Raw genomic sequence first — 26539 nt, forward strand, 5'->3', positions numbered from 1 at the left:
TTGAGTCCAGAAGTTTGCATACCAAGACCCTGTCTCTCTATAAAAATAAAAATAAATAAAATAAATAAAAGCAGAATTTTATAATAGTGAAGAGGAAGTACTGAAGTGAAACATAAAATTATCTTCCCTGGGAGTAGTGAAGGTGGGGGCTGGAGGATAAAGACCTGCCTGTCTGGCTCTCTTTTGCTCTGCTTTTTTTTTTTTTTTTTTTTTTTTTTTTGACAGTTTTGCTCAGGCTGGAGTTCAATGGCGCAATCTCGGCTCACCACAACCTCCACCTGCTGGGCTCAAGCAATTCTCCAGTCAACCTCCCAAGTAGCTGTGATTATAGGCATGTGCTACCACACCTGGCTATTTTTGTTTGTTTGTTTGTTTGGTTTTTTGTTTTTTTTTAGTAGAGATGGGTTTCTCCATGTTGGTCAGGCTGGTCTCAAACTCCAGGCCTCAGGTGATCCGCCCGCATCTGCCTCCCAAAGTGCTGGGATTACAGGCATGAGCCACCCTGCCCGGTTGCTCTGCTTCTTAGTGGAGACCAAGGGGGTGGATAGGATTCATTCACTCATTCAACAAATACTTACTGAGAGCCTCTAATGTGCTAGGCAATTTTAAGTGACAGAACTGTAGAAGTGAACAAACCAGGCAAAAACAGATAATAAACAGTCAATGAAGTATCTATTCTGTCAGATAATTCTGGGTACGGTGGAGATAAACAAAAGAAGAAAGGGAGGTAGGGAGAGGCAGATGTGGGGATGAGAGACTGAGAGTGGGATGATTGTTTTAAATAGAGTTGCAAGGAAAGACCTGGTGGGGAAGGTGACCTTTGAGCAGAGCCGCAAGTAGAGATTACAGATAGGTCAGCAGACCGTTGGGGGAAAAGCATTCCAGGCAGAGGGAACGGCCAACACAAAGGCCTGGAGATGCAAACATGTAGAGCACGTTCCCACAAGAGCAGACAGCAAGTGTGGCTGGAGCAGTGAGGAGGGGCGAGTGGTAGGAAATGAGGTCAAAGAGGATGATCAAAGCCTCAGATATGTCATTCTTTAATTTTATGATTCAGTGCTGCATTTATGGAACACCCCTAAGCACCAGAAACAAAACCATGCCCAGGGGAGGCATTTAAAAAAAAAAAATACTAAAAGTAGCTACAGAAACTGTTTGGGTATCAACTCTATCAGAGGTAAACGGCAGTCTCTTTCTGGCTAAAATATAACGTTTTCAAGTCTCTTCTGCTACATCAAGCCATAGATAACCTACCAACCATCTATGATTAAGAGTTTTCAAATTTAGGCATGGTCTTTTAACTTGACTGTAACAAAAAATACCAACATAGGAGTAAATTCAATGGGAAATTTTACAACCAAACTATAAAGAAGCCTAATGTGGCAGTGGATTAACGCAAAATCCAGATACCTGTCTGTGTTCCTCAGACTCATCTCTTAGGGACATTTGTTTACCTTGAATTTTGCTGGGATTTACAGGCTTGGGGGAACAGTTCTGTGACAAGTGCCTATCAATACCTACAGACAGCTCAAAAAGAAAGGCCTGGATTTCTTTTTCCTTGGCTTTCTTCTCGCCTCTCCCCACCCCCCGCCCCAGAGCAGAACACTGAAGGATCTGAGAGAAAAACCCTGCAGCTCATCAAGATCAAGGCAGGCATTATATTTCAAGTTGAAGTTCAAAACAGCTTGCTTTTTGCTGAGACGTCTTACTTCCTGAAATCAGATGATGCCTTTTAGTACTTCAGCGTGCTGAGTCACAAGCGAGCTACACACTCGCTCTTTCATTTCAGGCTGCCAGGCTGAGAACTCGTCTTCCTCCATGGTAAAGGGAATGCAAGGACCCAGTTGAGAACACCTTTGGAAGAGGTTTCTGTGAAGCAGAAACCTCTCTCCTTGCTTTATTTTACCTTGAGGAAATTGGACAGCCCAGAAGTAATTTTTTAAAAAACTCTGCACGTAATCTTTACATAATATCACCTACAGCTGCCTAAAGACTGCAGTGTTGATTTTATTTTAGCTTATGTTTACCCATTTATTGTAGCGTATTCAAAGCACGGATGACAAAGATATTAGAAAATTCTAGCCCTCCAGAGAGCCATTCAGATTAGAGCCCTGGAAGCTGAGAAATAGTTGTTGCCCATGGCTCAGTCTTGCTGGAAGACAGGTTTTGGTGAATTAGTGACTAACCAATAAAAATTGGACAATTTCACATAAAAAATCCAAATTTGGAGATGCCTTTGGAAACTTGAAAGATCTGCTAACACTGGACTAAAATTTCTGCATAGGAACAATCGGCGACTCCTCAGCCAGACCCGGAGACAGAATGGGTGCTGGGAAAATATGACGTCCTCCCTGGGTCATCACTCACCTGATACCACTGCATTCCTCCCCAGTAGTGCCTGTCCCCGTCACATGCACCTGGAACCCTCACCCAGTCCAGCCACTTTGACAGATGAGGAAAGTGGGGTTCAGAGAATCATAATGACTTATCCAGTGTCACCCAATTAGGTAAAAGCAGGAGCCAAAAATCTTTCCAAGATGCTCTTATTCCCTGGGACTCCAGTTGTAAATGAAATTGGGCCACATTTGAAGCAGTGTTTCAGATGATATTAGCTCTGAAGTGATTTTAATTATAAATCATCACCAGAAACTAATGAAGGCATCAAAGCTGTGATACTGGTATAGATGGGAAAGGCTGGGGAAAAGTATAACTAGGAGATAAAACATTTCCTGAGGGATTTCAAATTTAAGTAATCTATATTTAAAATATCATGATTTTAGTGAGTCACAGAGTGGGGCAATGAAAACCTGGATAAAAATCACATCCTCATTTAACTAGACTGAATAAATTGGAAACAATTATTCCTTGGATTTTTAGAGGCTTTTTTAAATACAAGAATTCTGCCCATCTATCTACTTCATCATATTGATTCATGGTAATACATTAAATGAAAATAAATGAGTAATTATTGAAGCCCTTCAAGATTCTTTATAACCAATGATTTATTTTCCTTATAAGGTAAACTTATGCATTCTCTGAAAAAATTTTGTTTATACACTGGTAGATGTATTATAAATGTACATATAATACAAAAATATGCTGGCCCTGATAACCCTGGTGTTATTTTTTTCCTAATTGCATCAACAGAATAGAAATGGGAGTTTTCCTGAATTAATTTTTCTATACACTATTGGTACATAGTCATACTCCATCCTGCTTCCTAGGAAGCTCACACTCCACCTGCACCATCCTCAGATACTTTTCACCTTGAAAGGGCTTGAAAAGAAACCAGAATATTTCCATGGAAAAGTATGTAATCTGGAAATGAACTGCCACGCCTCCCGCTAACCAGATATAGCGATCACTGATGAGACAAGTGGAACATGCTACATGTTTTACAGTTCCACAGCTCTTTCAGCAGAGCCAGCAAATGAGAGGCTTCACTTCTTACCACATTAGCAGCCATCTAAACCTATGTAACAGTAAGAGATAGTCGAAGTACAATGCTGTTCAGTAATGCTGTAATGTCATTGGAAATCGCGGTTGCTAAAATTAAACTGACACTTGGCAGAAATTAGCATAACACTTTCCATCACAGCCTTATGACAGAAAGAGTGTCTGTGTGGCACAGGCAATGCTGAGAGCAGAGCTGTGCATCACAAGAGGGATCGACGTCTGAGGCCATGCAGAGAAAGCTTTGAAGGGATTGGAAACCCACAATCACAAAAATGCTGCAGTCTCCCATCCCTTCACAGGGACACAGAAGTTGAAGCTCAAATTCAAACTCCAAACTTCTCTTTGTCTTCTGACTGTGTTTTTTCACCAGATGGGAGGAGGGGCTCCGTGTTTGGGCAAAGCAAAGGAAGGCTTTATTTTATCATCTGCCAGCATGGGTTTTCTCCGTCTCCTCCCCACCGCCCTCAGGATCAAGACAAACTCCTTAGGAGCACTCCTTAATTGGCACAGGGCTATTTTTAAGGCAATGGGAAGACACTCCTCTCCCCTGGGGCCCAGAATACGCCCTCCATGCTGGCAGTGTTTTGTTCTAACCTAAAGCATATGTCAGCTTCCTCACTACACAGCTCAGGAGTCCAGTGCAACTAAAGAGTTAAATTCCTTGGAAATAAGACCAGTGAAGACTTCTGGAGCTGTGCAGGTGCAGAATTACAGCCTGCCACTGCTCATCAGGCCACAGAGTCCCGAGCCCCTACATTTGGGTCTTCTTGTTTTGCCATTTAAAAAAAATTAATAAAAGAAATAAATTTCCATTCTCTCAGCATAGAAATGAGCACATAGTAGGTACTCTCAGTAAATATTTGTCAAATAGTCAACACGGTTTTAAAATATTTCATCCAAGCTCCTTTCAACCCCTGTAAGTCTCAGTCTGATTTCAGCTTTCCTAATCCACAGATGGCCAGTTTAGGGCCAGATCATCTGACATAAGAGCAAAAGGGCTATGTCCCCTTGTAGGAGGCAGGGCAAAGCTCTCTGCATTGTAATGAAGTCACCTTATTCAACGGCACGAATTCACACAGTTTAGAAGTCCAAGAATAATGAAACTGGTAAACATACAAACCAATCAGGCAAAATGAAAACCAAGGAAAGTTTATCTTTTCTTAGCCAAGAGGGGGAAAGGCCAAGGTATGTAAGACATACACCACAGAATACTTTGTTCTTTCTTTTTTATTTAGTCACAACACATCAGTACAACAGAGGTCAAACCCAGTTCAGTGGAGGTCGTTTAACTACACCTGCTAAAAGAATAAACCTGAAAAATGATATTTTATAGCCCAAATCAAATTAAATAAATCAAAGAGAAGGAGGCAGGAAAGCCCTTTTAAATACCTTGGCAACCACAGTTCCATGCACCAAAAGGAAAACTCACATAAAAATTTCCAGTTAAAAGAAAATATGGCAGTCCCAGGAAAATTAGGTTATGCATTTAACAGTTTCCACTGTACTACTCAATTGACCACTCGCACACCATGATCACTTATCCATGTTAACATTTGTGAATTTGAGATCCGTGTGATTAAAAATTCTTTGTGTTGCTGGGGCTGGTAAATGCAGGCGTATTCTATTCAATTACCTTCAGTTTCCTTTCCACCAACACTCCAAATGAGACCTAACCTATCAGCGGCTCTCTCCTAACTAAATCAGAACTGCCAGTCCTGGCAGATACCAGCAGCTGGTCAGATGGATTCAGGGCCACCAACAGTTTGTACATTCACCTTTCTGCTATAGGAGGCAGACAATTTACTAGTCTTCTTTCTTGGATAAAGCTGATCATCTGATTTGTCAACGCTTTGCTCAGAAATATAAAATTCAATATAGTTCCCCTCCCCCCAAAAGAATATTATTTATACAACACCTTAATCTGTCAAAATATTAACAAACAGAATCATGTTAACATTAAGCATAGTGGTTTGGAAAATTAATTCTAAAAACAGACCATAACTATACAAGGAGAAAAACAGACCAAAAATACTAAATGTTAAGATTCCCCAAATTTTGAGGCAAAAACGGAATCATTCTGGTTTACAAAGTAAATTAGGCACAGTACAAACCTATCACAAAGTGTTGGCTTATACTCACTATTTCAATTTAATGTCTTGAACAAAATTTAACAACTAGTTTTTAAAAACTGCTAATACATGACATGATGAAAAAAACATTAAAAAAGATAAAAGTAAACCAACAAACCTTTAGTCTTTAAAAAAAAAATTATCTGAAAGTGTACCTTTTTCCTTTTTACTTTTACTGACGACTTTAAGGTGATGTTGGCAACAGTCCAGCCCAGCTGGGATTTTAAACTTTCCCCTCCCTCATTCTACATCAGTTCTTTAAAAAGCTCCGATCTCCGTCCCCCAAGGTCTATAGGGCTTGCCAAGGTTTGCAGCCTGCGTGGGTGCTGAAGGGCTCAGTGCATTGGGAGACAGTAAGTGGAAGGAGCCGAAAGAGAAGGGGAAGGCCGACAGGGAGGCCACTGAGGAGAGCAGAGGCGGCGACAGTTTGGAGGCGGAGGTGACCACAGGGAGCACCGGTCCGAGGCTGCCGCTAGGGGGCGCTCGCAAAGCAGGCGCCTCCGGATGTGCCGAGCCCAGCCTGCCCTGGTGGTGCGGTTCCGTGGGTGAGGCCGTGGTGCCCGCGTTCCCGTGGCCGTTCTGGGGCAGCAACAGCGGGTGCGCGATGTGCGGGTGATGTCCGAAGACGGTCCCCCAGGGAATGTGTCCGAGGCCCGCGTGGGCGCCGCTCGCGGCTTCCCGCTGGGAAGCGTAGTTGTTGAGATGCGAAACCAGTCGAACTCGAAGCGGGTCAGAGGCATCTAGTCCTTCAATGATGCTCAGATAACGCGCAACTTCTGCCAGGCATTCCCGAAATCCCAAACTCCGATAGTCCATAGCAAGGGCGTGCGCGTCAAAGTAACCTAAGCAAAAGAACAAAAGAAAAATCTCAGGGCTTTGCCCGTTTCCCTCATTTCTTAAGTCCCAGAGACAGCCCTTCCTGGCAGATACCTGCATCCCTTAAAACACAACAGTCAGGGGTTCTTCCGAAAGTCTTTGGAATCAACAAAAATCTTTGCATTAATCAACATAAGCAGAATGTGTTTGCTAATGCAAGTTCAAAGCCCAATTAGAAGCTGCAGAGCAGAAATTGGAATTATACCCTACCAGCAGATGAAACTATGTTCATTCCTTTAATGTTTTCCCTCAACAACAACAAAAAATACATCAAGGGCAGAGAAACCACAGAGCAGTGAAATTCATTAGACACACAGATGTAAGTTATCATCGCGGAGCTTTTAGGCACTTGGACCTCAGTAAAGCATTTTCCTGCTGGAGAGACATACACACAGACCTTGGTCTCCCGTTAGGTTTCCTTTACTTAACCAGAATACATTTCTTTCCTCAAGAGGCATGTGGCAGCACCTTTTTTTTAAAATCCCGTATACCAAAAATAAGACCACATATTGTTTTTAAATGCTTTTTCTCAAAATAGCAATGGACAAATGTGAAAGCTACCTGATCTGAATCAGGGCTGTCACAACTTTTGAAGACCTCACAAATAATAGGTATTTTTCCAAAAGATGCACTAGCTCAATCCGCAGAGAGCTGGGGTGGTGAATTCACTGGAGAAGATTCTATGTGCATTCGAAAATGTACTGACAGGGAACTGCACACACCACACACCGTTCTCTCCCCACCCCCAAAGAAAAATCAGGCAGCTACTGCACCAATCCTGGCCTTCAGCCGCTGCTCACTCTTTGCCAACCATTCAGAGCCCCCACTAGGTCTAGGAGATGTACCTTTCCCTCCTGCCGTATGCAGCATTTTCAGGTGATCCACGGTCATCTGCAGGATCTCGGCTTTTTCTAGCTTAGCAGATCCCTAAAGATGAGAATGGCAAAAGATTGATTTGGCACAAGTTCCTTTGGGGAACAATTTAAAATATGCAAACATATATACAAAGATACATGCTTTGTAAATCGTAAAGCATGGACTAAAGCAAAATCAGTTGTCTTCACAAAATACGCTGGTATCTGTGTACGAATTCATCTAGGCACAAGCAACACAGCTATTTTCCAAGGCGGATGAGATTAATGAGGGGAAGATTCAGAAGGTGCAGATAGCTATGCTGAGAGCTTTACCTACTTGCTCCATTACCTGCTTCTCAAAAGCACTGGGTACCAGCCTTCTCAGCTCAGACAAACTGTTATTGATCCGGTCTCGTCGGCGCTTCTCAATTATCTGCAGAAGGCAAGCAAAACAAAGGAAGGCATTACCATTACGACTGTAAATTTCAAAGACAAAAAAAAAGGTGGTTATTTCCGTTAATCAATAACAAAAATAAAAGGAGAGTGTAAAGAGACTCACTCCTCTCCGTCTTTTTCTGGCCAAAATCTGGGAAGATGTAGTTGGGGACATGGAACCTAGAGCCGAACTCAAGTTTCTGAAAAGAGAAAAAGAACAAACAAAAACTGAAATCGCCGTTAAACGAGGAGAGGTGATCTGAGAGGTCGCCCCCACACCCTCCCCGCACTCAGACTTTTTTTGCCACTTGGGCTGGAAGGCACCTAGGGGTTCCCTGGCCGCAGGCTGCCGCCAGCCTGCGACGCGCGGAGGTCAGCGCAGGGCACCGGCGCGCCAAGGGTCCTAGCCCGCTGTCACCGCGGCAGGCCTGCGCTCGCCTCCCGCTCTGGCTCGGCTCCGCTCCGCCGCCGCCAGCTCACCCATTCTCGTCCGCACTCTCCTTCTCCACCTCGATGGTCTCGTCCAGCTCGCTGTCCGAGGAGCTGTACTCGGGGTGAGCTCGCTTCATGCTGGCTCCCTGGGGGTTCCTGGGGAGGGTCGGCGCGGCGGGCAGGGAGGAGTTAACTACAGCGGCGCCTCTCCGCTCTCGGCTGCTTGCGTTCCGCACACACTGATCCCGCTCACGCTTTGCCTCTGGTTAAAACTCAACCATCCTTTCCCACGCTGAGCCCCTTCCCAGGGCCCTGGGGAGGGCGGGGGAGTGGGGAAGGCGGGCGAGGGGGCGGAGAGGCGGGGCGGCAACTCCAGGGCAACAGCCGCCCCCCGGCCAATCCGGTTTCTCGCGCCGCTGATTGGCAGCCGCTCCGGGGAGGGGCGGGAGCGAGGCCGAGGGCTCTAGCGGACCGCGCCCCCGCCCTCCGCGCCCGCCCCTGCCCGGCGGCGGTGCGTCGGCTCCGCGGGGGCTCTGTCCAGCCTGCACTCAGGGGAAGGAGGAGGCGCGGGCGGCGGGGAGGCGCGGGAGGCCGGGCCGGGACACAAGCCCGCCGGCGGCCGCGGCTCCTCCCCGCCCCGCGCGCCCCGATTGGCCTGGCCGCGCGCCAGGGCCGAGCCTGCAGCGCCTCCGGTGAGCCGCACGCGCCGCGGGCCGTGGGAAAGTGCCGGCGCCGCGGCCGCCAGCCAATCCGGGCGGCCGGCGACGGCGACGGCGGCGGCCGCGCTGGCGGCGGCGGCGGCGGCGCTGGGCGTCCGCATGAATGGAGAAGAATGGGCAGGCGGGGAGCCGGGCCGCGCGAGGGCGCGCCGGCGGGGGCTGGGCGGCCGCCGGCCGGGCCCCCAGTGTGAACCTGTAATCGGAGCCTGGGCGCCGGCCGGCCTCGGAAGCCGCCGCCTAGCGCCACCGTAAATCTCGCCCGCGTGGCCGCCAGTGCCCGGCGGCTGGAGGCGCGCGCTGTTAGTGGGGCCGTGCCGGGTGCACCTGGCCGGGCTGCGCGCCGGCGGCTCCGCGGAACCCGCAGGGAGCCGGGAGAGGGGGCGCCGGGCGCGTCCACAGTGGCCACCAGCCCAGGGGCCGGTCACATGGAGGAGCAAGCTGTGGGCTCAGGGGACGCTCTTTTTGATTTCTGGGACCGAGGCCGCACATGCAGCCAGACTCGTTTCCGCAGGGGCTTCCCAGCCGCGGAATGGAATGAATACCCCTGTGCATCTCATTTCCGGGGAAGGGGAGCACTTGTTTTTTCGGCCGCCTTGGGGAAAAAAAAACCCAACGGTCCCTGGGAATAATCATTATGCTGGGATTTTTTTGTTGTTCCCCCGCTGCCCCCCCCCCCGCCCCCTCCCCCCGGCGGCCAGATCCTCTCAGCGGGCGACAGGGTGGCGGTGCTGGCGTTTGCGTCTGAGGCCGGCCTTGCTGAGGGAATGCACGTCTCTGGCCCCAGACACACACCTCTGGCTTCGGTGGCTTGGCGTGGCGTGTACTGGGTGCCACGTGAAGTCCCCCCCGAGTCCACTAAGAAGACAGATTTTTTAAAAAATACAGTTGTAAATCTCGAAACTGATTTCTGATTCCAGAAACAGAATGGTTGTTTTAAATTTGAAAATCCGGTCTTCTGTCCCTTACAAAGGTACACAGCAATTCGCATTCATCTCAGATCCACTCTGAAGCTTGTAGTCCTGTCTGTGAGGGAAAGCTTAATATCCATCGGTGAGAATAACAAAAGGCGTTTTCTCTTTGCAAAAAGCTTCCTGGTTTCTAGACTTCCTTATTGATCTCAATGCTATTTTTTTTTTGAGATGGTGTCTCACTCTGTCGCCCAGGCTGGAGTGCAGTGGCGCGATCTCGGCTCACTGCAACCTCCGCCTCCCGGGTTGAAGCAATTCTCCTGCCTCGGCCTCCCCAGAAGCTGGGATTACAGACGCGCGCCACCATGCTCAGCTAATTGTTTTTGGTATTTTTAGTAGAAACGAGGTTTCACCATGTTGGCCAGGCTTGTCTCAAACTCCTGACCAAAGGTGATCCGCCTGCCTTGGCCTCCCAAAGTACTGGGATTACAGGCCTAAGCCACCGCGCTCGGCCTCAATGCCATCTTAACACATCCTGGATGCCAAGCACTCTGAGTGGCCGGCCTGGGCCTAATCCATAGTTCCTCTCTGGGCACCCCCATCCCTCCACCACCGCCCCCAACGGGAAATACAACCTCCTGGCTCCCACTGAAGCTTATTCCACTTCACATCACCTCCAGCCCTGAGCCTTTCCATGCAGCCCCTCTGCTTCCCTGTCTAGGCTGGGCCCTTCCATCAGCCAGCCTGGGTTTGTTGCTGCTGGCACCCCAGACCTCTGGCTTCCTGAAACTCCACCGCATGCTGCCTGTTAGTTGTCAGTCCGAGGTCAATCCCACCAGCCGACTTTCTCTCTGGAAGTGCAAATTTTAAGGCTCCTTCCTGGCCCTCCCAGTCTTCAGTCCAGGGCATCCATCACTACTTCCTGCCTCTTCCCTCCCAGAAACTGATGGTCCAGGCATAGGAAACCATCCCACCTGCTCCCCTCTGCCTTCCAGAAGTCCCTCTGACCTTCCATTTCTTTCCCCAAAGTGACAGGCCACCCTTCCCCAGAACCAACGTGTCTACTTCCCCTCTGGCTCTATAGATTTTCCCAGCCTCTGGCACCTACAATGAGTCAGCCTTTCCTGCTTTGGCTCATTTCTGCTGCTGTGGAGAGGCGTGGACAAGCTGCAGATGTTGAGTGAGACGAGACCGGGTGGGGTTAGGGATGCTTAACTCTACATTGGCATCCAAATGAAATATTGCTCACATGTTCATGATTACTTTTATGTCAAAAAGGAGGTTCTCTACGGCCAGGCGCAGTGGCTCACACCTGTAATCCTAACACTTTGAGAGGCTGAGGCAGGAGGATTGCTTGAGTCCAGGAGCTCCAGATCAGCCTGGGCAACATAGCAAGATCCCCATTTCTTAAAAAAGAAAATTAAAAATTAGCCAGGCATGGCATGCACCTGTAGTCCTAGCTTCGTAGAAAGCTGAGGTGGGAGGTTTGCGTGAGGCCAGGAGTGCCAGACCAGACTGGGCAACACGGCAAGATCCCCATCTCTAGAAAAAATTTAAAAATGAACCGGGCATGGTGGCCTGTGTCCTAGCTACTCTGGGGGCCGAGGCTTGAGCCCAGGAGGTCAACGCTACAATGAGCTATGATCATTGCACAGCACTCCAGCCTGGGTAACAGAATGAGACTCTGTCTCTAAAAAAATTACAAATGAGGTTGTCTTGCTTCTTAAGTTTGACTGATTTTTCAATGCTTCCAATAAATACGTATTCTTCTATGTGCCATGTGCTGTGCTAGGGCCTGAAAACACAAAGGTGACCCAAAAGTCATCCATCTTGCACTCCTAGAACTCACATCCTAGGGAGAAGACAGAGAATACACAGTAAAGTAGTTATGGATGCTCCAGTGCTTGGAAGCACTTGTTGGTAAGGAAAAACGAGGGGGTGAGGATTCTTTATGAGGTCTGGGAAGGCCTGTTCTGAGTTTGGAAGGGACTTAAGATCAAGAAGAGGTGAACTAGGTGGTTCAGTAATAACCGGGAAGGAAGGGGCGGAGACCTCTTCCTTGAGTGGTGGGATCAGAGGAGAGAGTTACACTGAGGGCACCAGGCCCAATTTTCTCCCATCTGCTGTGTAGAAGGGATTTACCCCTGGAGGCTTTGAGTGAAGAACGACTTTAAACATCTTTGCTACCCTGAATGAAAGGTACGTCCTGCAAATTGACCCCTTCTGCAACTTAAATGGGACTGCCCAGGCCTGGCCCCTCAGGAAAAGGACCTTTTACCATTTGGGGGTGGGGAAGTGGGCAAGTGTTGCCTTTTATAATTCGTCTCTCCTGAAGAATCACCCTTTTTTATTTCGCTCAAAGGCCTATTTTCTTGCCTGGTTTGTAGAGTCTGGGTTCAGTTACTTAGCTTACCGTTCCGCAGGCTGCTTTTATCTGCGTTCCCTTGCAGAAGAGATACTCCAGATGTCCTGGAAGAGAGAGACACTCCAGATTTAGGAATTCACTCGAAAGGCCAGGCCCAGGTGAGGGCCTCCCCAGAGGAAAAGTGGTAGAATCTCCAGGGAGGAACAGCTCATCCTCAAACTCCAGCTGCAGCATTTCTCTATGAACGAGGCTTAGGGTGGCCAGCTTGTTGGAAGGGATGCAACCAGTAGCTGGGTGTGAGACTGGCCTTGAGGAAGCCCCAGTCGTCAATTATTCATTCATTAGAGCTTTGGCCACTGTGGAGGTCCCTACTTGGATACCCTTCATGAGGCCCTGTCTCTGTCAGTTTGCTGGTGGGTGCAGGTGATCTCAATTGAACAGGCATGGGACATAGTGCTCAGGAGGACCAGAGGCTACACCTGCAGCTCTGAGAAAGAAGGGGCTGCCGCTCTCTCTAACCTCTTAGTCTAATTGCTGTACCATTCTGAGGCAAAGGTCTTTGTCAAAACAAGTTTTAGGTAAAGCTAGCCAGTGGCTGGCTGAAACCTTTAGGGCTTGCTTGCTTATGTACTTGCTTGACAAATTTGTATAAAGCCCCTAGTCTGTGCTGGGCACTGAGCCAGGCCTAGAGCAATCAGGCTGAAAAGCCACAATCTCTATCAAGCTGCTCACAAGTTCTTCTTAGCTACATGATATTTAAGCCTCAATAATCTTATCTGTAAAATGGTGATATTGGCTGGGCGCAGTGGCTCGCGCCTGTAATCCCAGTACTTTGAGAGGCCGAGGTGGTTGGATCACGATGTCAGCAGTTCAGGACCAGCCTGACCAATATGGTGAAATTTCGTAGATATTTTTATCTACTAAAAATACAAAAATTAGCCGGGCGTGGTGGCGCACACCTGTAATCCCAGCTACGTGGGAGGCTGAGGCAGGGGAGTCGCTTGAACCTGGGAGGCAGAGGTTGCAGTGAGCCAAGATCGCGCCACTGCACTCCAGCCTGGGCGACAGAGTGAGACTCCGTCCGTCTCAAAAAAAAAAATGGTGATATTAGTAATAGTTATTTTCCAATGTCACAAATTAAATATGATCAATTATATGAAGCACTTTACAACAATACTTGGCCACTAGTTAGCACCCAATAAACAGCATCTGCTATTATTGGCTTTTAATATACCTTCTCTGCCCATGAGTATATAAACTCTGAGCACTAAGTTACTTTTGTGTTTTCTTCTGATACTCTGTTACACGTCTAATGAGGTTGAAAGGCAGTATAAATAATTATGTAGTAATTGGATATATTAACAGAATCTCTAGAAAGTAATATCCTTTTAACATCAGGAGAAGGAAACAGTGCTTCTTGTTAAGAGCACTAGATTATTTTGAGTAATATAAGCATCTGCTATTCATTATTAGTGAAAGTTTTGCTTTTTGAATCTAAGAAACATCTCCTGAGCATGTAGCGCTATAATACATGTATAAGTAAGGAGTGTACTCATGGAGTTCAGAGATGGCTCCTTCATGAGAACACAAGGAATTTTGACTAAGTGACAGTTTTCCTTTGTTCCTCATGCTTGCTGCTTTCTCTAGATGCAGCATCTCAAACACCAGATTGCTTTGTGGCATGTCATGCCATGCAAAAGTGCACTTCCACTATCAACTTTCCTAATTGAGGTCAGATGTGAGATGCCTTGGTGTTTGCCTTGAAGGAATTGTTTAATTGGAACCCTAACAGGCAGTGGTATGGTACAGTGGAAAAAGCAGGGATTTCAAATCACCTGCCTGGGTTCAAGTCACTCTTTACTAGCTGTGTGACCTTGAGCTTATCATCACACCTTTACCCTCTGAACCTCAGTTTCCTCATCCATAAAATAATAGCTCAGCGTTCATTTTGTTTTTCAAAAGATAAGATGAGACAAAGCATTTTTTCAAGTGCCAAACAAATGTTATGCCTTATGCTTTTAAGTTACGGTGATGATGATGATGATGTGAAGAATATGGGATGCTTCTTCCTGAGCCTTGCTGGACCATCAAGGCTGGAACTCCTGGCCTTCTTCCTGAGCCTTCCTGAGCCTCTTGTGCCTGCCAGTGAATTCCCTCACAATGAGCAACTCCATCTTTTAAAATATACATATATATACATATATATATATTTAAAATACCAACATGCATTTCACAAAACATTAATTTCTCAAGATGCTTTGTAAATAAAAGAATCTGTTTCCAGATACATCTGGAAAACCACCTGTAAGATCTCGGGGCACATTACAGCATGAAAAGCTCAGAGACATTCTTAGTAAAGAAGCCTTATTTACATTTGTCTAACCCAGCACTTCCCAAACTCACCAGTTACAGCACCTTTTTTCTTCACATAACATGTGCTAATATTCCATTGAAACGGCATACCAAGGAACACACTTTGGGAACTTGTCATAGCGTAAGGGTAGATGCATTTTGCTTTTGGTTAAAGATGACTGACCCACAAAAAAATTAATCACAAATGAAAACCAACTTAATACAAATTATTACTAAGTGCTGAAATATAACTTTTGCTGAGTAATTTATCGTCACCCATCCCCCTCCCATCCCCAACCCTTCCGAGTCTCCGATGTCTATCGTTCCACAGTCTGTGTCCATATGTACACACTATTTAGCTCCCACTTATAAGTGAGAGCAAGCATCTGACTTTCTATTTCTGAAAGTTCTTTGCTGACTAATCAAAGAGACCAATTACTTAAAAGTAATTTATATTACCTTTTAAATACTTGTAATAACAAACACCTTCATAGCACTTCATGGCACCATATACCAGAAACAGTTTTTAGAACTTTACATATAACTGATTGAATTCTCACAGCAACCCAGGAAAAGGGAGGTATTATTTTCTCCAGTTTTAGAAAAGGAAGCCTATGCAAAAGGAAGTAAGAGATTTGCCCAAAGTTGTATCTGAATCTCTGCCATTGGTTTGATTCCATGACACCCTCTTTCCCTCAAAGAATAATTTACAGTGTATTCTTTTCTCAGTTAAAATGATACAAACATTAATATACAGCATACTTTTCTCAATTAAGCTAATTAAAATAGTAATTTGCAGAATATTTTCATACTTTAAATAATTCAACTAGTTTTTATTTTTACACGTCCAAGACAGCTCGAGATATAAATGAGATAAATCTTAGGGTGTCCTAAAGCAAGCTGGAGAATGTCACTCCCTGGACTTTGTACCAAGTTGCATTTAGTGGAAGTGAAGCCTTGTTTCCTAGGTAGCCTGGATGCTGAAATAATACTGCAACAGTTGGGGTATATGACTTCTTTGGATTTGGTTTTCAAGTATTTCATAATTTACTACTTTTTATGTTCTTAGATATTTATTATAAATAAATCCAAAATGATTTTAAATTATTAAAGTTTAAAGTATATGCCTTTGGCACCACTAGAAAAAAAAACTTGAAAGTATAGCAGAAAGTTCCATGTGAGCCCCAAACTGGAATTCACAGACTCTACATCTTTGAAACTAGAGGCTGCTAATCCACTAAGTGATCTGTTTGCCTGAACTGATACACACTGGAGCTTTGGTTTTAAGTTGAAAAGTTGTTTTTTGTTTTTTTGATATTTTTACCTTTTGACTCAGGAGCACAGGGCAGAAAGGAGGGAGAAAAGAATTGAGGGAACAGATTTTTTTTTCCTTTTTTTTTGAAGTGTATAAATTTAAGGGGTACAACTGCAATTCTGTTCCATGGCTATATTGTGTAGTGGTGAAGTCTTGACTTTTAGTGTATCCATCACTCAAGTAATGTACATTGTACCCAGTGAGTAGTTTCTCATCACCCATCCCCGTTCTGTTCCCCTACTCTTCTGAGTCTCCTTGTCTATCATTCCACACCCTATGTCCATGTGTACACATTATTTAGCTCCCATTTATAAGTGAGAACAAGCATCTGACTTTCTGTTTCTGAGTTGTTTCACTTAAAGAGAATGGCCTCCAGTTCCATCCTTATTGCTGGAAAAGACATGATTTCATTTTTTATGGATGAATAGTATTTCATTATGTATATATACCACATTTTTTAATTCAGTCATCCATTGATGGACACTTAGGTTGATTCCATATTTTTGCTATTGTAAATAGTACTGTGATAAATATATGTGTGTAGCTATCCTTTTGATATAATGATTTCTTTTCCTGAATATATACCTAGTAGTGGGATTGCTGGATCAAATGGTCATTATTTTTTAGTTCTTTGAGCAACCTCCATAGAGTTTTCCATAGTTGTACTAACTTATATTCCCACCAACAGCATATGAGTTCTCTTTTCTTTATATCCTCACCAACATCTGTTATTTTTTGACTTTTAATAATAGCCATTCTGACTAGTGTAAGATGATATCTCATTGTGGCTTCAATTTGCATTTCTTTGATCATTAGTGATGTTGAGCTTTATTTCATATGCCTGTTGTGCATTTGGATGTCTTCTTTGAAAAATGTTTATTCATGTCCTTTGCCCGCTTTTGAATAGGGTTATTTGTTTCTTGTTGTTGTTGAGTTGAGTTCCATGTAAATTCTGGATATTAGTTCCCTGTTGGATGCATAGTTTGCAAATATTTTATCTTGAGAGGATAGATTTTTGAGTCACATTAGAGAAAAGGCTTAGCACCAAAAGCTGAAGGAGTTATTTATATGGGAGATAATTCTGGTAAAAAGTAACAACAATAATAATGTTACATCAGCACCCAGGTGACAGTATGCTGCGGAGAACTGGGACAGGTTAATTCTGTGCCACCACCCCATGCCCCCCACACACATGTGCATACACACTGCCAAATGGCACTCTGAGGGTACATGGTGATGACTGGAACTTAGCTATAGAGGCAGTGCACAGGCCTTCAAGATGAAGATGTCATTGACAAACAGCATTGAACATCAATGAGGCATTACCCAGGTGGGGCTGAGAACTTAGAAAGGGGCCAAAGTCCTATAGTCTGGCAGGAAGGGTTAAGAATCATTGGAATTTAGGCATTAATGTGACCTCATTTGTAGTCAAAGGCTAGTGGGGCCAGGTAACATTCTAGTTATAAGACATGAAAGAAGTGAAACATGTTTAGATATCATTCCTGAATTGTGTTACCCCAAAATTAATATGTTGAAGCACTAACCCCCAATGTAATAGTATTTGGAGTTGGGGCCTTTGGGAGATAATTAGGTTTAGATGAGGCCATGAGGCTGGGGTTTTTACAATGGGACTAGTGCCCTTATAAGAAGAGACACCAGAGAGCTAATTCATTCTCTCCTGGTGCCATCTTTCTGTCCCTCTCCCTCTCTCTTCCTTTCCCTCTCTCTCTCCCTCTCTGCCCCATGTGATGACACGGTGAGGAGACAGCCATCTGCAAGCTAGAAGGAGAGCCCTCACCAGAACCTGGCCGTGCTGGAACCTTCATCTTGGACCTCCGGCCTCCAGACCTATGAGAAAATAAATTTCTATTGTTTCAACCACACAGTCTATAGCATTTTGTTATGGCAGCCTGAGCTAAGACAATTCCTACTTCAAAACTTTTATAAAATCTTAATGTGTCTTTGTAAGTAGGCATTTTTGTTATAGATAAGTGTTCTAGTTCCCAGCTTTTAGAATGTATTCTATTTTACTTGCCAGTAATTGAAGGAGCAAAATAAAAAATACAAATTTTTGCCACTTAAAAAGCCCTATTTTTAGAGCAATATATATTTTTCTATTTTTCAATGACTTTTCTTTTTCAAATCCATTATAGGTTATAAGTTGAAGAAATAAGACCAGTTTCCAAATAAATGACAAAGAGCTTGGTATTCCTGGTAAGTATCACCATTTAAGAGGAGCTTGCATTTTCAGTCTGTAATTTTCTTTCCTGTTCTTGTCCTTTTTGAGCCTCTTGTCAACTGACAGTGAAAGGCAGGGGTGGTTTGTCTCTGCCGGAAATTCCCACTGTGAAAAACTGGCCCTACCGACTCTATCACCAATGCACAATACACATGAGCCTAGGACCCCTTTAGGCTTTCAACCCATCTACCTCTCAAGCCAAATCCTGAGTTCATTGTTCCTGGGGTTTCCTTTCACCAGCCTTGCAACTGTCCCTCCATGAACAACTTTCCCAAGTGCAGCAGGCTGCATGCTCATCCTCCCTCAGAGTACACGCTGAAGACCACAACTCATTTCCTTGGATCTCAGTAGACTGTGTGCTTGAATCACCTTTTCTTTTACCCCCTAAAAACACTATAAAAATACTTCCATAATTTGGCTGTTTGGGTTTTATGTTTGTAACACTGTATTTAGTAATTATAATACATAGTATATAGAATAAAAGTAATGTATTTTTCCGCTGAGGAAAGAAAGTAATAGAGACAGAAAGATGAGTTGGTAGAATTTTTCAAATACATGCCAAATATCTCTCTCTTTCTTGGGGGGGGGCGGTTGGAGGAGGGGGTTTCCCTTTGTTGCCCAGGCCACACTGAAGTAGTGCAATCATAGTTCACTATAACCTCAAACTGCTGGGCTCAAGTGATCCTCCCACCTCAGCCTCCATAGTAGCTAGGATGACAGGTACATGTCACCATGCCCAGCCAATATTTTTACATTTTTGTGCAGCAATGATCTCTCCATGTTGCCCAGGCAGGTCAAACTCTTGGTCTCAAGTGATCCACCAGCCTCAGCCTCCCAAAATGCTGGGATTACAGGTATGAGCCACCACACCTGGCCTAATTTTAAAAAGCAAAATATATTCAGTTTTGAAGACAGCTTGATTTGTCTTTGCTTATATGTGCCATCACATGTTATTGTCTCAGTCCATGCTCATTAGCACAATAATATTTAAAGGGCCTTTGAAAAGATTTATCAAAAATACTGAACCTTCAAGCATAGTTTTCTGAGAATTCGCAGCTCTGAGTTAAAAGTTTTTGTTCTCTGTAAAATATATATAAAATAATTTTGATATCCAGTTTTAAGAGTTGGCTTAATAATTTTTGGTATTAAAAAATCTGAAAATGTTAATAGGTGTTCCTTAAATTGGTCACTAACCAAAATTTTACTCTGCTATCAGTTCATGTTAAATTTTTTTAGTACTTAATTCAAACCACTTTTGTTTCTTCTAAAATTTTTTGTTTAAAACACAAAGACTTATCTTACTGTCCTGGTACTATTTATTGCCCATTTGCAACAGTTTTTGAGCTTTTTTTTTTTCCTTGAAATCTGACTAGAATTGATTTCTTAATTTCACATGTACACACAAAAACACATGATCTTGCTTTATGATTGTTAATGTTTTCTACACGGGCACTATATTGGAGACTGTAAATACTCTGCCTTCTTGAATTAGACACTCTTGGGCCCACATGTATGCACATATCAAAAGCCTTAGAGAACACTGAACCACAGCACATTAGAGTGTCATCTTCTTCAGCATTTTCTCTCTGATTCTCCATCTTGATCTCTAGGAATAGTTTTTATATTGCTTCTTTCATGTGTTTACTCATGGAATCTGGTCTCTGGGGCCCACATTTTTTAGTGCAAGACAGAGAGTAAAAATATGTTCATAGGCTGGGCACGGTGGCACATGCCTGTAATCCCAGCACTTTGGGAGGCCGAGGTGGGCAGATCATGAGGTCAGGAGTTCGAGACCAGCCTGGCCAATATAGTGAAATCCCATCTCTATTTTAAAAAAATCTACAAAAATTAGCTGGGCGTGGTGGCATGCACCTGTAGTCCCAGCTACTCTGGAGGCTGAGGCAGGAGAATCGCTTGAACCCAGGAGGCGGAGGTTGCAGTGAGCCGAGATCACACCACTGCACTTCAGTCTGGGTGACAGAGTGAGACACCGTCTTAAAAAAAAAAAAAAAGGAATATGTTCACAGATGATGACTGAAGAAAGAATTGTGCAGGATTAGACACTTCAGTACAATGGACCAAGAGCACTTTGTTGACATTTTCCCCATTACCTTTATTTGTAGCATTCATGGAGTTCAGACGGAAAGCCAGAGAGGGTCGTGGTGGTCTGTGCCTTATACTTGAGGAGAAGGGGGCCTCATAAGAAAACAGGGCAGGAGTGGGATGGCCCACTGGAAAGTGATTATGAAGCCCATGAGGACAAAGAACATGAAATGGAATAAGACAATCTAGTTAGGTTTATAAACAGAAGGGGGAGACTTTGAATGTTCATCATACACAGTTGAGGTGATACAAAAAGAATACCCACATAGAGGGAAAAAGTCCTGGAGTTGGGAATGTGCTAGGAATGAACCTGGATTGAGCCTATGGCTTCAGGAATGGAAAGAATAAGGCAAAGGAATTATGAAAAAATATTGAGCAATACTTGGCATATTATTGGATGGAGAAAATACTGCCCTGATAGGTAATGAGTCAAAAATCATTCCCAGTTTTCTTGCTCTAAAACTGGTTCTCAACTTTTAGCAGGCATCAGAATCACCTGGAGGAGGAGATGCTGCTGCTGGTGGTGGCCCAGAGACCACACATTGAGAACCACTGCTCTAGAAAACCATTTGTCTTTGCTGATGGAGAAACCTGGCTCTAATAGAAGGTAACTGAGGAGGAAAGGAGTTGCTTGACTTCAAGGCTATCCATCAAAAGATCACAATGAGTTATACAGTATTCAGCTATGTATCTCTGAAATCAGCCAAGCTCTTTTACATAAGAATTTTGCAATTTCCTGATTAATTCAGGATATATGTTAAATTCCTAAATTGAGCAATATGAATTTTTAGGTGGTTTTGTTGTTGATGGTAATGGTTTGATGTTTAAGACAGTTGCTGCTTATCTTGACAAACCATGAACTCTCAAAATGTTTCCCAAGGGAAGGGCTCCATAGAGAAGAAAGGAAGCCATTATTTCCTCTATGTCAAAATGAAATGTTCAGACCTCTGAAACCTAAATAAATGAATAAATATAAAAGCATAGATGAGATCAGCCTTCAAATCTACAAAGACAAAATAATCAAAAAAAGGTGTAAATTACAATGGTAATAAGAGAATTTAAGAATATATATAAATTATTTTAACAGAGAAACTGTGTTCCTCCAGGGCCTGTAGTTCAAAATTTTGTAATGCACAATGATCCATCCCCAAAAAATGGAATATTGATTCAGACCCTAGGACTGCAATGTTTAAACCAGTGGTTCTCACCTGTTAGTGAGCATTAGAATTACATGGAAAGTTTAATAATAAAGACAGATTTGGGGGTCCCCCTCCCCCTCAGAGTATGTGAATCAGTAGATCTCAGTGGACTCAGGAATTTGTAGTTCAAACAATTCCCAGATGATGCTGATGCTGGATATGTGGGACCATACTTTAGGAATTGCTGTTTTTGCTCTATGGTTCACAACTTGGCCACATACTAGAATTATCTGGGGAGCTTGCTTTTTTAATTTCAATTCATAGGCCACACCTCAAAACAATTAAAATTACAATCTCTTGGGGTGTGAACCCAGGCATCAGTAGTTTTTGAAGTTCTCAGGTGTCTCCCATGTGCAGCCAAACTGGAGAATTTCTACTTATGTTAGTAGTTGTCAGACTTCAGCACACATTACCTGAAGGACTATTAAAATACAGATTGCTGGGCCCCTCTCATGGAGTTTCTGATTCTGTAAGTCTGGGTTGGGCCCAAAAATTCGCATTTCAATCAAGTTCCCAGATGATGCAGTCAGTCCTGGGACCATACTTGGAGAACCACTGGGTAAGACCAACTTCAACCCTGGCTGTATTTGGAATCTACTGGGGAGCTGGCAAAAAAATACTGAAGTTGACTCCATTCTCAAAAACAAAAGAAAACCAGATTGGGATATAATTAGTTTGGGTTGGGGTCTGGCATAAGTATGTTTTTAAAGCTTCCCAGGTGATTCTAATATGCAGCCAAGACCTGGAATCACTGCAAAATCAAGCAAGGTGAAGACGCAGTAAATGTATCACCTGTCATGTTTGCTTGTCATCTGAATTTAAAATGACCTATTCTAACCAGAATATATTTCAACCACTACATGCAGTATCTTTATTGAAAAAATATACTACATTGAAATAAATGTAAGATCATGAGGGTCATTTCTGAATTTAAGAAAGGGCCAGGCACAGTGGCTCATGTCTGTAATCCCAGCTACTCAGGAGGCTGAGGTGGGAGGATCGCTTTAGTCCAAGGATTCAAGGTTATTGTGAGCTATGTTTGTACCACTGCACTCCAGCCTGGGCAACAGAGCAAGACCCTATCTCAGAAAGAAAAGGAAGGGAAAAGGAAGGAAAGGAAAAGACTAGGTTAAGCCAGGAGGGGATTCTCCCTACCCCTTTTATTGCTATAAATGCAACATACCGTCTGAATTTTTTTTTAATGTTACATGGTAACCCACCCCTTTGGTGATCTGCAGCCAATCATGTAAACAGAAACATTATAACTGTTATTATAAAAGTAGTTTCCTATAAATGAGAAATTACGCTTATATCTAAATAAACTTGAAACCTGATCAAACACCCTAGCCCCAAGAAAATAACTCTGGGTTTGGACAACACAACCTAGAGTAACGTTTTACTGCCACTTGATGTTTCTGAACATACAGGGTCATTTTTAATCACGTAGTATGGAAATAAGTTGTCTGCTACAGACAGTAAAAGCTGAGATTTGGGAGTGGAGTTGGGGTGTGGGCAGGGAGAGTATCAAAAGGAGTTGGCTTTTAACTGGGGCTTTCTTGGACAGCTCTATGATATCAGTTAGATACATGTTTGTAAGTAATTATTTCTACTTCAGTTTTCACAGAAAATAGTGATACTATTGTGTTTTGGCAGCTGATTTAGTAAATTGCCATTCATGACCCTGCTAGAATATACTATGCAAGGTCCACTTCTTATGCCTCAGAAATTTAGCACTGGAAAAGAACTTAGGGCTCATCAAATCTCCTAATTTTATAGTTTAGGACTGACTTTACACCCACTAGAGTGGCTATAACCAAAAAGACAAACAATAGCAAATATTGGTGGGAAGCTGGAGAAAAACTAAAATCTCATGACTGGGAATTTATTGCCAATTTGGAAGCAGTTTGGCAGTTTCCTTAGAAGTTAAACATAAATTTACCATCAACTGAGCAATTCTGCTCCTAAGTTATCTATTTACCCAAGAGAAATGAAAACATGTTCACACGTTTACATGTTCATACATGCTGCATGTAAATGTTCATAGCAGCATTATTCATAGTGGCCAAAAGGTGGAAACAATTCAAATGTCCATCAACTGATGAATGGATAAACAAAATGTGTTTATACCCAGCAATAAAAAGGGAAAACTGAGGATACATGCCACAACCTGGATGAACCGTGAAAACATGCTGAAAGAAACCAGACACAAACGATGACATATATGATTCCATTTATATGAAATGTCTAAAATAGGCAAATCTGAAAGAGACAGAAAATAGATTAGTAGTTGCTTAGAACTAGGGAATGGGAGAGGTTAGCATTACGGGGGATTTGAGGACGAAAATGTTCTAAAATTGGTGATGGTTGCACGTATCTGTAAATATGCTAAAAACCGTTGAATCACACACTGTTAAAAATATTTTTATTTATGTATTTATTTATTTTTGAGGCGGAGTCTCACTCTGTCACCAGGCTGGAGTGCGGTGGCGCAATCTCAGCGCACTGCAACCTCCGCCTCCCGGGTTCAAGCAACTCTCCTGCCTCAGCCTCCCGAATAGCTGGAATTACACATGCGCACCACCACGCCCGGCTAATTTTTGTATTTTAGTAGAGACTGGGTTTCCCCATGTTGGTCAGGCTGGTCTCAAACTCCTGACCTCAAGTGATCAGCCCGCCTTGGCCTCCCGAAGTGCTGGGATGACAGGCGTGAGCCACCAAGCCCAGCCGAATCATACACTTTAAATAGGTAAATTGTGTGGTATGTGAATTCTAAATAAAGCTGTTATTTAAAAAAAAATCATCGGAGTGTAGAGTGCTGGGAAACTTCAGACGCAAATTTCCATCAGCCTACCTCTGAAATCACCTTGGCCGAGGCGACCGCCAGGCGCATGCGCACGGGGCAGCCACCAGCTAGTTAGGGTGATCCCAGGTTAGAGGCGCCCAGGCTAGAAGGGCCCGGCTCTTGGCCCTCGCTGTCCTGCCCGCTGTCGCCGCTCTTTGGCGCCCCCGCAACAGCTCCCTCTCAGCAGGACGCGGAAAGGTCAGGGTCCCTCTCTCTCGTATATACCACAAAGAAAGCGCGTTCCCCGCGGCGCCCCGAGAGCCCTTAGGCAGACGTCCCGCAGAGTCCCAAGTCCCTACGGTGGGCCCGCGGGCTCCTGATCTGTCCAGGCCCCTAAACTATCACAAGGAGGATATTTGATGACCGTCTTTCTTCCCTCGCTCTCTCCCAACAAAGGGTAACTGACCTCTCGCGTGACCTGGCCAGCGCTGAGATTCCCTCAACACGCTTTCCCCCTATTGTGTGCAGACCCCCACAGGGCGGAGGCGAGCGGCGCGACCCACTGGACGGACGCGGCCCGGAGCTCCAGGCGCCCGGACCTGGCGGGCCCTCCCTGGGCGGGCGGGTGGCGCGTCGCCCGCCGCCGATCCGGGCGGGGTGAGGGGGGCGCTGTAATTGCAGCGCAGCTCGGGTTCCCACGCTCCTATTGTTGGCGACTTTGTTTCCAATTCCCATCACGTGTGCTAATTAGTTAGCGCTGCTGGCTGGCTGGGAGGCGTGTGGCTGGCCTAAAAGCAGAAAGATCACTTCCTGTAGGGAGCCGGGCCGGCTGAATACTACTGGGGCTTCTTTTTCTCTCCTCCTCTGCGCCTCCTTCTTGGCCTCCCGGGAGGGTGGGAGAGGGAAGGGAAGGGGAAGAAATGCTGGTTGCGGAACAAATGCCACTGAATTGCAATAACAACCAAAAAGCTGGGGTTAGGGGGTAGGTTGGGGAATGGAAGGGGGAGAGTAAGAGCGGGGAATAGCGGAAAAAACAGGATTAAATGAGAGATTCACATTAGATCTCTAATGCTTTACAAAATGCCGTTCACAATTTTGATCAGTTAATCTCGTCAAGACTGGGATGATGGAGGAATTTTTTCATTTCCTCCATTCATGTTCAGTTTTTAAAAATCTGTCTTTACCCTCTGAGTAAAGCAAGCACAAGCATCATGGTACACTAGGAAAAGAGAAAAAAAGTGAAGCGAGTCATGACTTTTGAGTCAGTGACTTGCCCCTGGACCTAAGCTTCTGAGTTCTATTCATTTTGGCACTACACTTTTAGAAGGGGTGCAGTGAAGTGTCAGAGACTAACGGAGGATGGTAGTAAGTTTGAAAAATATACATGGGCCCATTACAAGAAAATGGTGCTATGTTTTTTGGCTTCTTGTTGGGCTGCAAGATTTAGGAAGGCTCTGATTCTCCTTATGGAAGTCTCTACTTTGAAGGTACCATGATATCCATACTTCCCTACAAATGAGAGGAAAGTGGGCATTTATAAGAACTCACCTTATAAGTGGTGGCAATAAGGGAGGAGATTTTGTCCTTTCTTTTGGAAAGTGGTGGAGGAATGAGGTCAAGAGTAACTCCATTCAACATGCATTTAGCAAGGATGCTTTGAGCATCTCCTATGCGCTAGGCACTGGGCTAGGGCTAGAGGCAGAGAGATAAAACATCCAGAACCTATCCTTAAGTAGCTTACAAATCTAGTTGAGGAGACAGGTATGTATGCAGAGCAACAATTAAGGATGACTCAGAAATGGAGGTCTGTACTTGAGACTATGAGGCCAGAGAAGGGCCACAGACCCAGGCAGGGCAATTTGGGAAACTTTCTGGAGAAGGGATGATTCATTTATCTGACACTTACATGACAAGTAACAATCGTCCAAGAGAAGAAGGGAGGAAAGGGCATTCCAAAAAGAGAAGTAGCAGAGTGTACAAAAGGCCACCGGGTCAGTGACGGAGTATGAGGCACTCTGCAAGCAGTTGTGCCCAGCGGCAGCACAGGGCTCCAGGGGTAGGCGTGGATGAGCCAGAGAGACAGGAACCATGAAAAGTCTTGTTGAGGAGTTTGGACTTTATCCTAACAGACCTAAAGCAAAGGAGCAAAATAATTAAATTTGTCTTTTAGAAAGATTACTTGGGCAGCAATTTAGAGGCGGGATTGAAGGGTCTCGGGCTAGGGCGGGGAGAGGAGATTGGGGACTAACCCAGTGATTCAGCAATAAGAGATATTATAAGAGACTGAAATGAAGAATGAGGTGAGCCCGATTCAAGATACTTCGAAGGTGGAACTGACAGAGCATGGGGACCAACTTGACTTTGGCAGTAAGCAA

At 44.4% G+C, this 26539-nt stretch overlaps 1 protein-coding gene and 2 long non-coding RNA genes across 5 annotated transcripts in view, besides 7 other annotated features; 1 reads left to right on the forward strand and 2 right to left on the reverse strand.

Moving 5' to 3' along the window:
* Nucleotides 1–4665: 4665 nt before the first annotated feature.
* Nucleotides 4666–8423, reverse strand: HEY1 (hes related family bHLH transcription factor with YRPW motif 1). Of its 3 annotated transcripts, none has more exons than NM_012258.4 (5): nt 8231–8423; nt 7875–7950; nt 7665–7748; nt 7307–7388; nt 4666–6427 (listed from the first exon to the last, which is right to left on the reverse strand). In NM_012258.4, the coding sequence occupies exons 1-5, from the start codon at nt 8317–8319 to the stop codon at nt 5844–5846; spliced, it is 915 nt and encodes a 304-aa protein (NP_036390.3). In that variant the 5' UTR covers nt 8320–8423; the 3' UTR covers nt 4666–5843. The 3 variants fall into 3 exon arrangements, with proteins under 3 accessions (NP_036390.3, NP_001035798.1, NP_001269780.1); NM_001040708.2 differs by having other exon boundaries at nt 7653–7748; NM_001282851.2 differs by lacking the exons at nt 7307–7388; nt 7665–7748; nt 7875–7950; nt 8231–8423 and adding an exon at nt 6859–7131.
* Nucleotides 6120–6359: an enhancer, noted in NCBI's record as "active region_27549". NCBI's record gives its function as "activates an Ori minimal core promoter by ATAC-STARR-seq in GM12878 lymphoblastoid cells {active_cell/tissue: GM12878}" and the evidence as "EXISTENCE:reporter gene assay evidence [ECO:0000049][PMID:35858748]".
* Nucleotides 7946–7995: an enhancer, noted in NCBI's record as "active region_27550". NCBI's record gives its function as "activates an Ori minimal core promoter by ATAC-STARR-seq in GM12878 lymphoblastoid cells {active_cell/tissue: GM12878}" and the evidence as "EXISTENCE:reporter gene assay evidence [ECO:0000049][PMID:35858748]".
* Nucleotides 8446–8925: a silencer, noted in NCBI's record as "silent region_19311". NCBI's record gives its function as "represses an Ori minimal core promoter by ATAC-STARR-seq in GM12878 lymphoblastoid cells {active_cell/tissue: GM12878}" and the evidence as "EXISTENCE:reporter gene assay evidence [ECO:0000049][PMID:35858748]".
* The window catches only part of LINC01607 (long intergenic non-protein coding RNA 1607), a 34701-nt gene continuing 16959 nt past the window's right edge, over nt 8798–26539 (forward strand). Inside the window, exons 1-3 of the long non-coding RNA NR_125410.1 lie at nt 8798–8874; nt 17995–18055; nt 20664–20790. This is a non-coding gene — a long non-coding RNA (long intergenic non-protein coding RNA 1607). The remainder of the gene's footprint in view (nt 8875–17994; nt 18056–20663; nt 20791–26539) is intronic.
* Nucleotides 8966–9325: a silencer, noted in NCBI's record as "silent region_19312". NCBI's record gives its function as "represses an Ori minimal core promoter by ATAC-STARR-seq in GM12878 lymphoblastoid cells {active_cell/tissue: GM12878}" and the evidence as "EXISTENCE:reporter gene assay evidence [ECO:0000049][PMID:35858748]".
* Nucleotides 9426–9595: a silencer, noted in NCBI's record as "silent region_19313". NCBI's record gives its function as "represses an Ori minimal core promoter by ATAC-STARR-seq in GM12878 lymphoblastoid cells {active_cell/tissue: GM12878}" and the evidence as "EXISTENCE:reporter gene assay evidence [ECO:0000049][PMID:35858748]".
* Nucleotides 10028–26539, reverse strand: part of LOC101927040 (uncharacterized) — a 102366-nt gene continuing 85854 nt past the window's right edge. The window contains exons 5-6 of the long non-coding RNA NR_110954.1: nt 12223–12278; nt 10028–11661 (exon numbers count right to left, since the gene is read on the reverse strand). This is a non-coding gene — a long non-coding RNA (uncharacterized LOC101927040). The remainder of the gene's footprint in view (nt 11662–12222; nt 12279–26539) is intronic.
* Nucleotides 24262–25062: an enhancer, noted in NCBI's record as "H3K27ac-H3K4me1 hESC enhancer chr8:80695841-80696641 (GRCh37/hg19 assembly coordinates)". NCBI's record gives its function as "activates a minimal SCP1, AML or CMV promoter by ChIP-STARR-seq in naive H9 embryonic stem cells {active_cell/tissue: H9 hESC(naive)}" and the evidence as "EXISTENCE:reporter gene assay evidence [ECO:0000049][PMID:30033119]".
* Nucleotides 24635–24874: a silencer, noted in NCBI's record as "silent region_19314". NCBI's record gives its function as "represses an Ori minimal core promoter by ATAC-STARR-seq in GM12878 lymphoblastoid cells {active_cell/tissue: GM12878}" and the evidence as "EXISTENCE:reporter gene assay evidence [ECO:0000049][PMID:35858748]".

This window comes from Homo sapiens, chromosome 8, assembly GCF_000001405.40.
Source record: "Homo sapiens chromosome 8, GRCh38.p14 Primary Assembly".
Lineage (NCBI taxonomy): Eukaryota > Metazoa > Chordata > Mammalia > Primates > Hominidae > Homo > Homo sapiens.

Excerpts from the sequence above, each read along its gene's own strand:
- HEY1 (NM_001040708.2), bottom strand. The coding sequence starts at position 8,319 with ATGAAGCGAGCTCACCCCGAGTACAGCTCCTCGGACAGCGAGCTGGAC. Across the intron at positions 7,951-8,230 it reads GAGAGTGCGGACGAGAATGG|AAACTTGAGTTCGGCTCTAG; the intron begins GTGAGCTGGCGG and ends TTCTCTTTTCAG. Across the intron at positions 7,389-7,652 it reads AGAAGCAGGTAATGGAGCAA|GGATCTGCTAAGCTAGAAAA; the intron begins GTAGGTAAAGCT and ends TCTCATCTTTAG.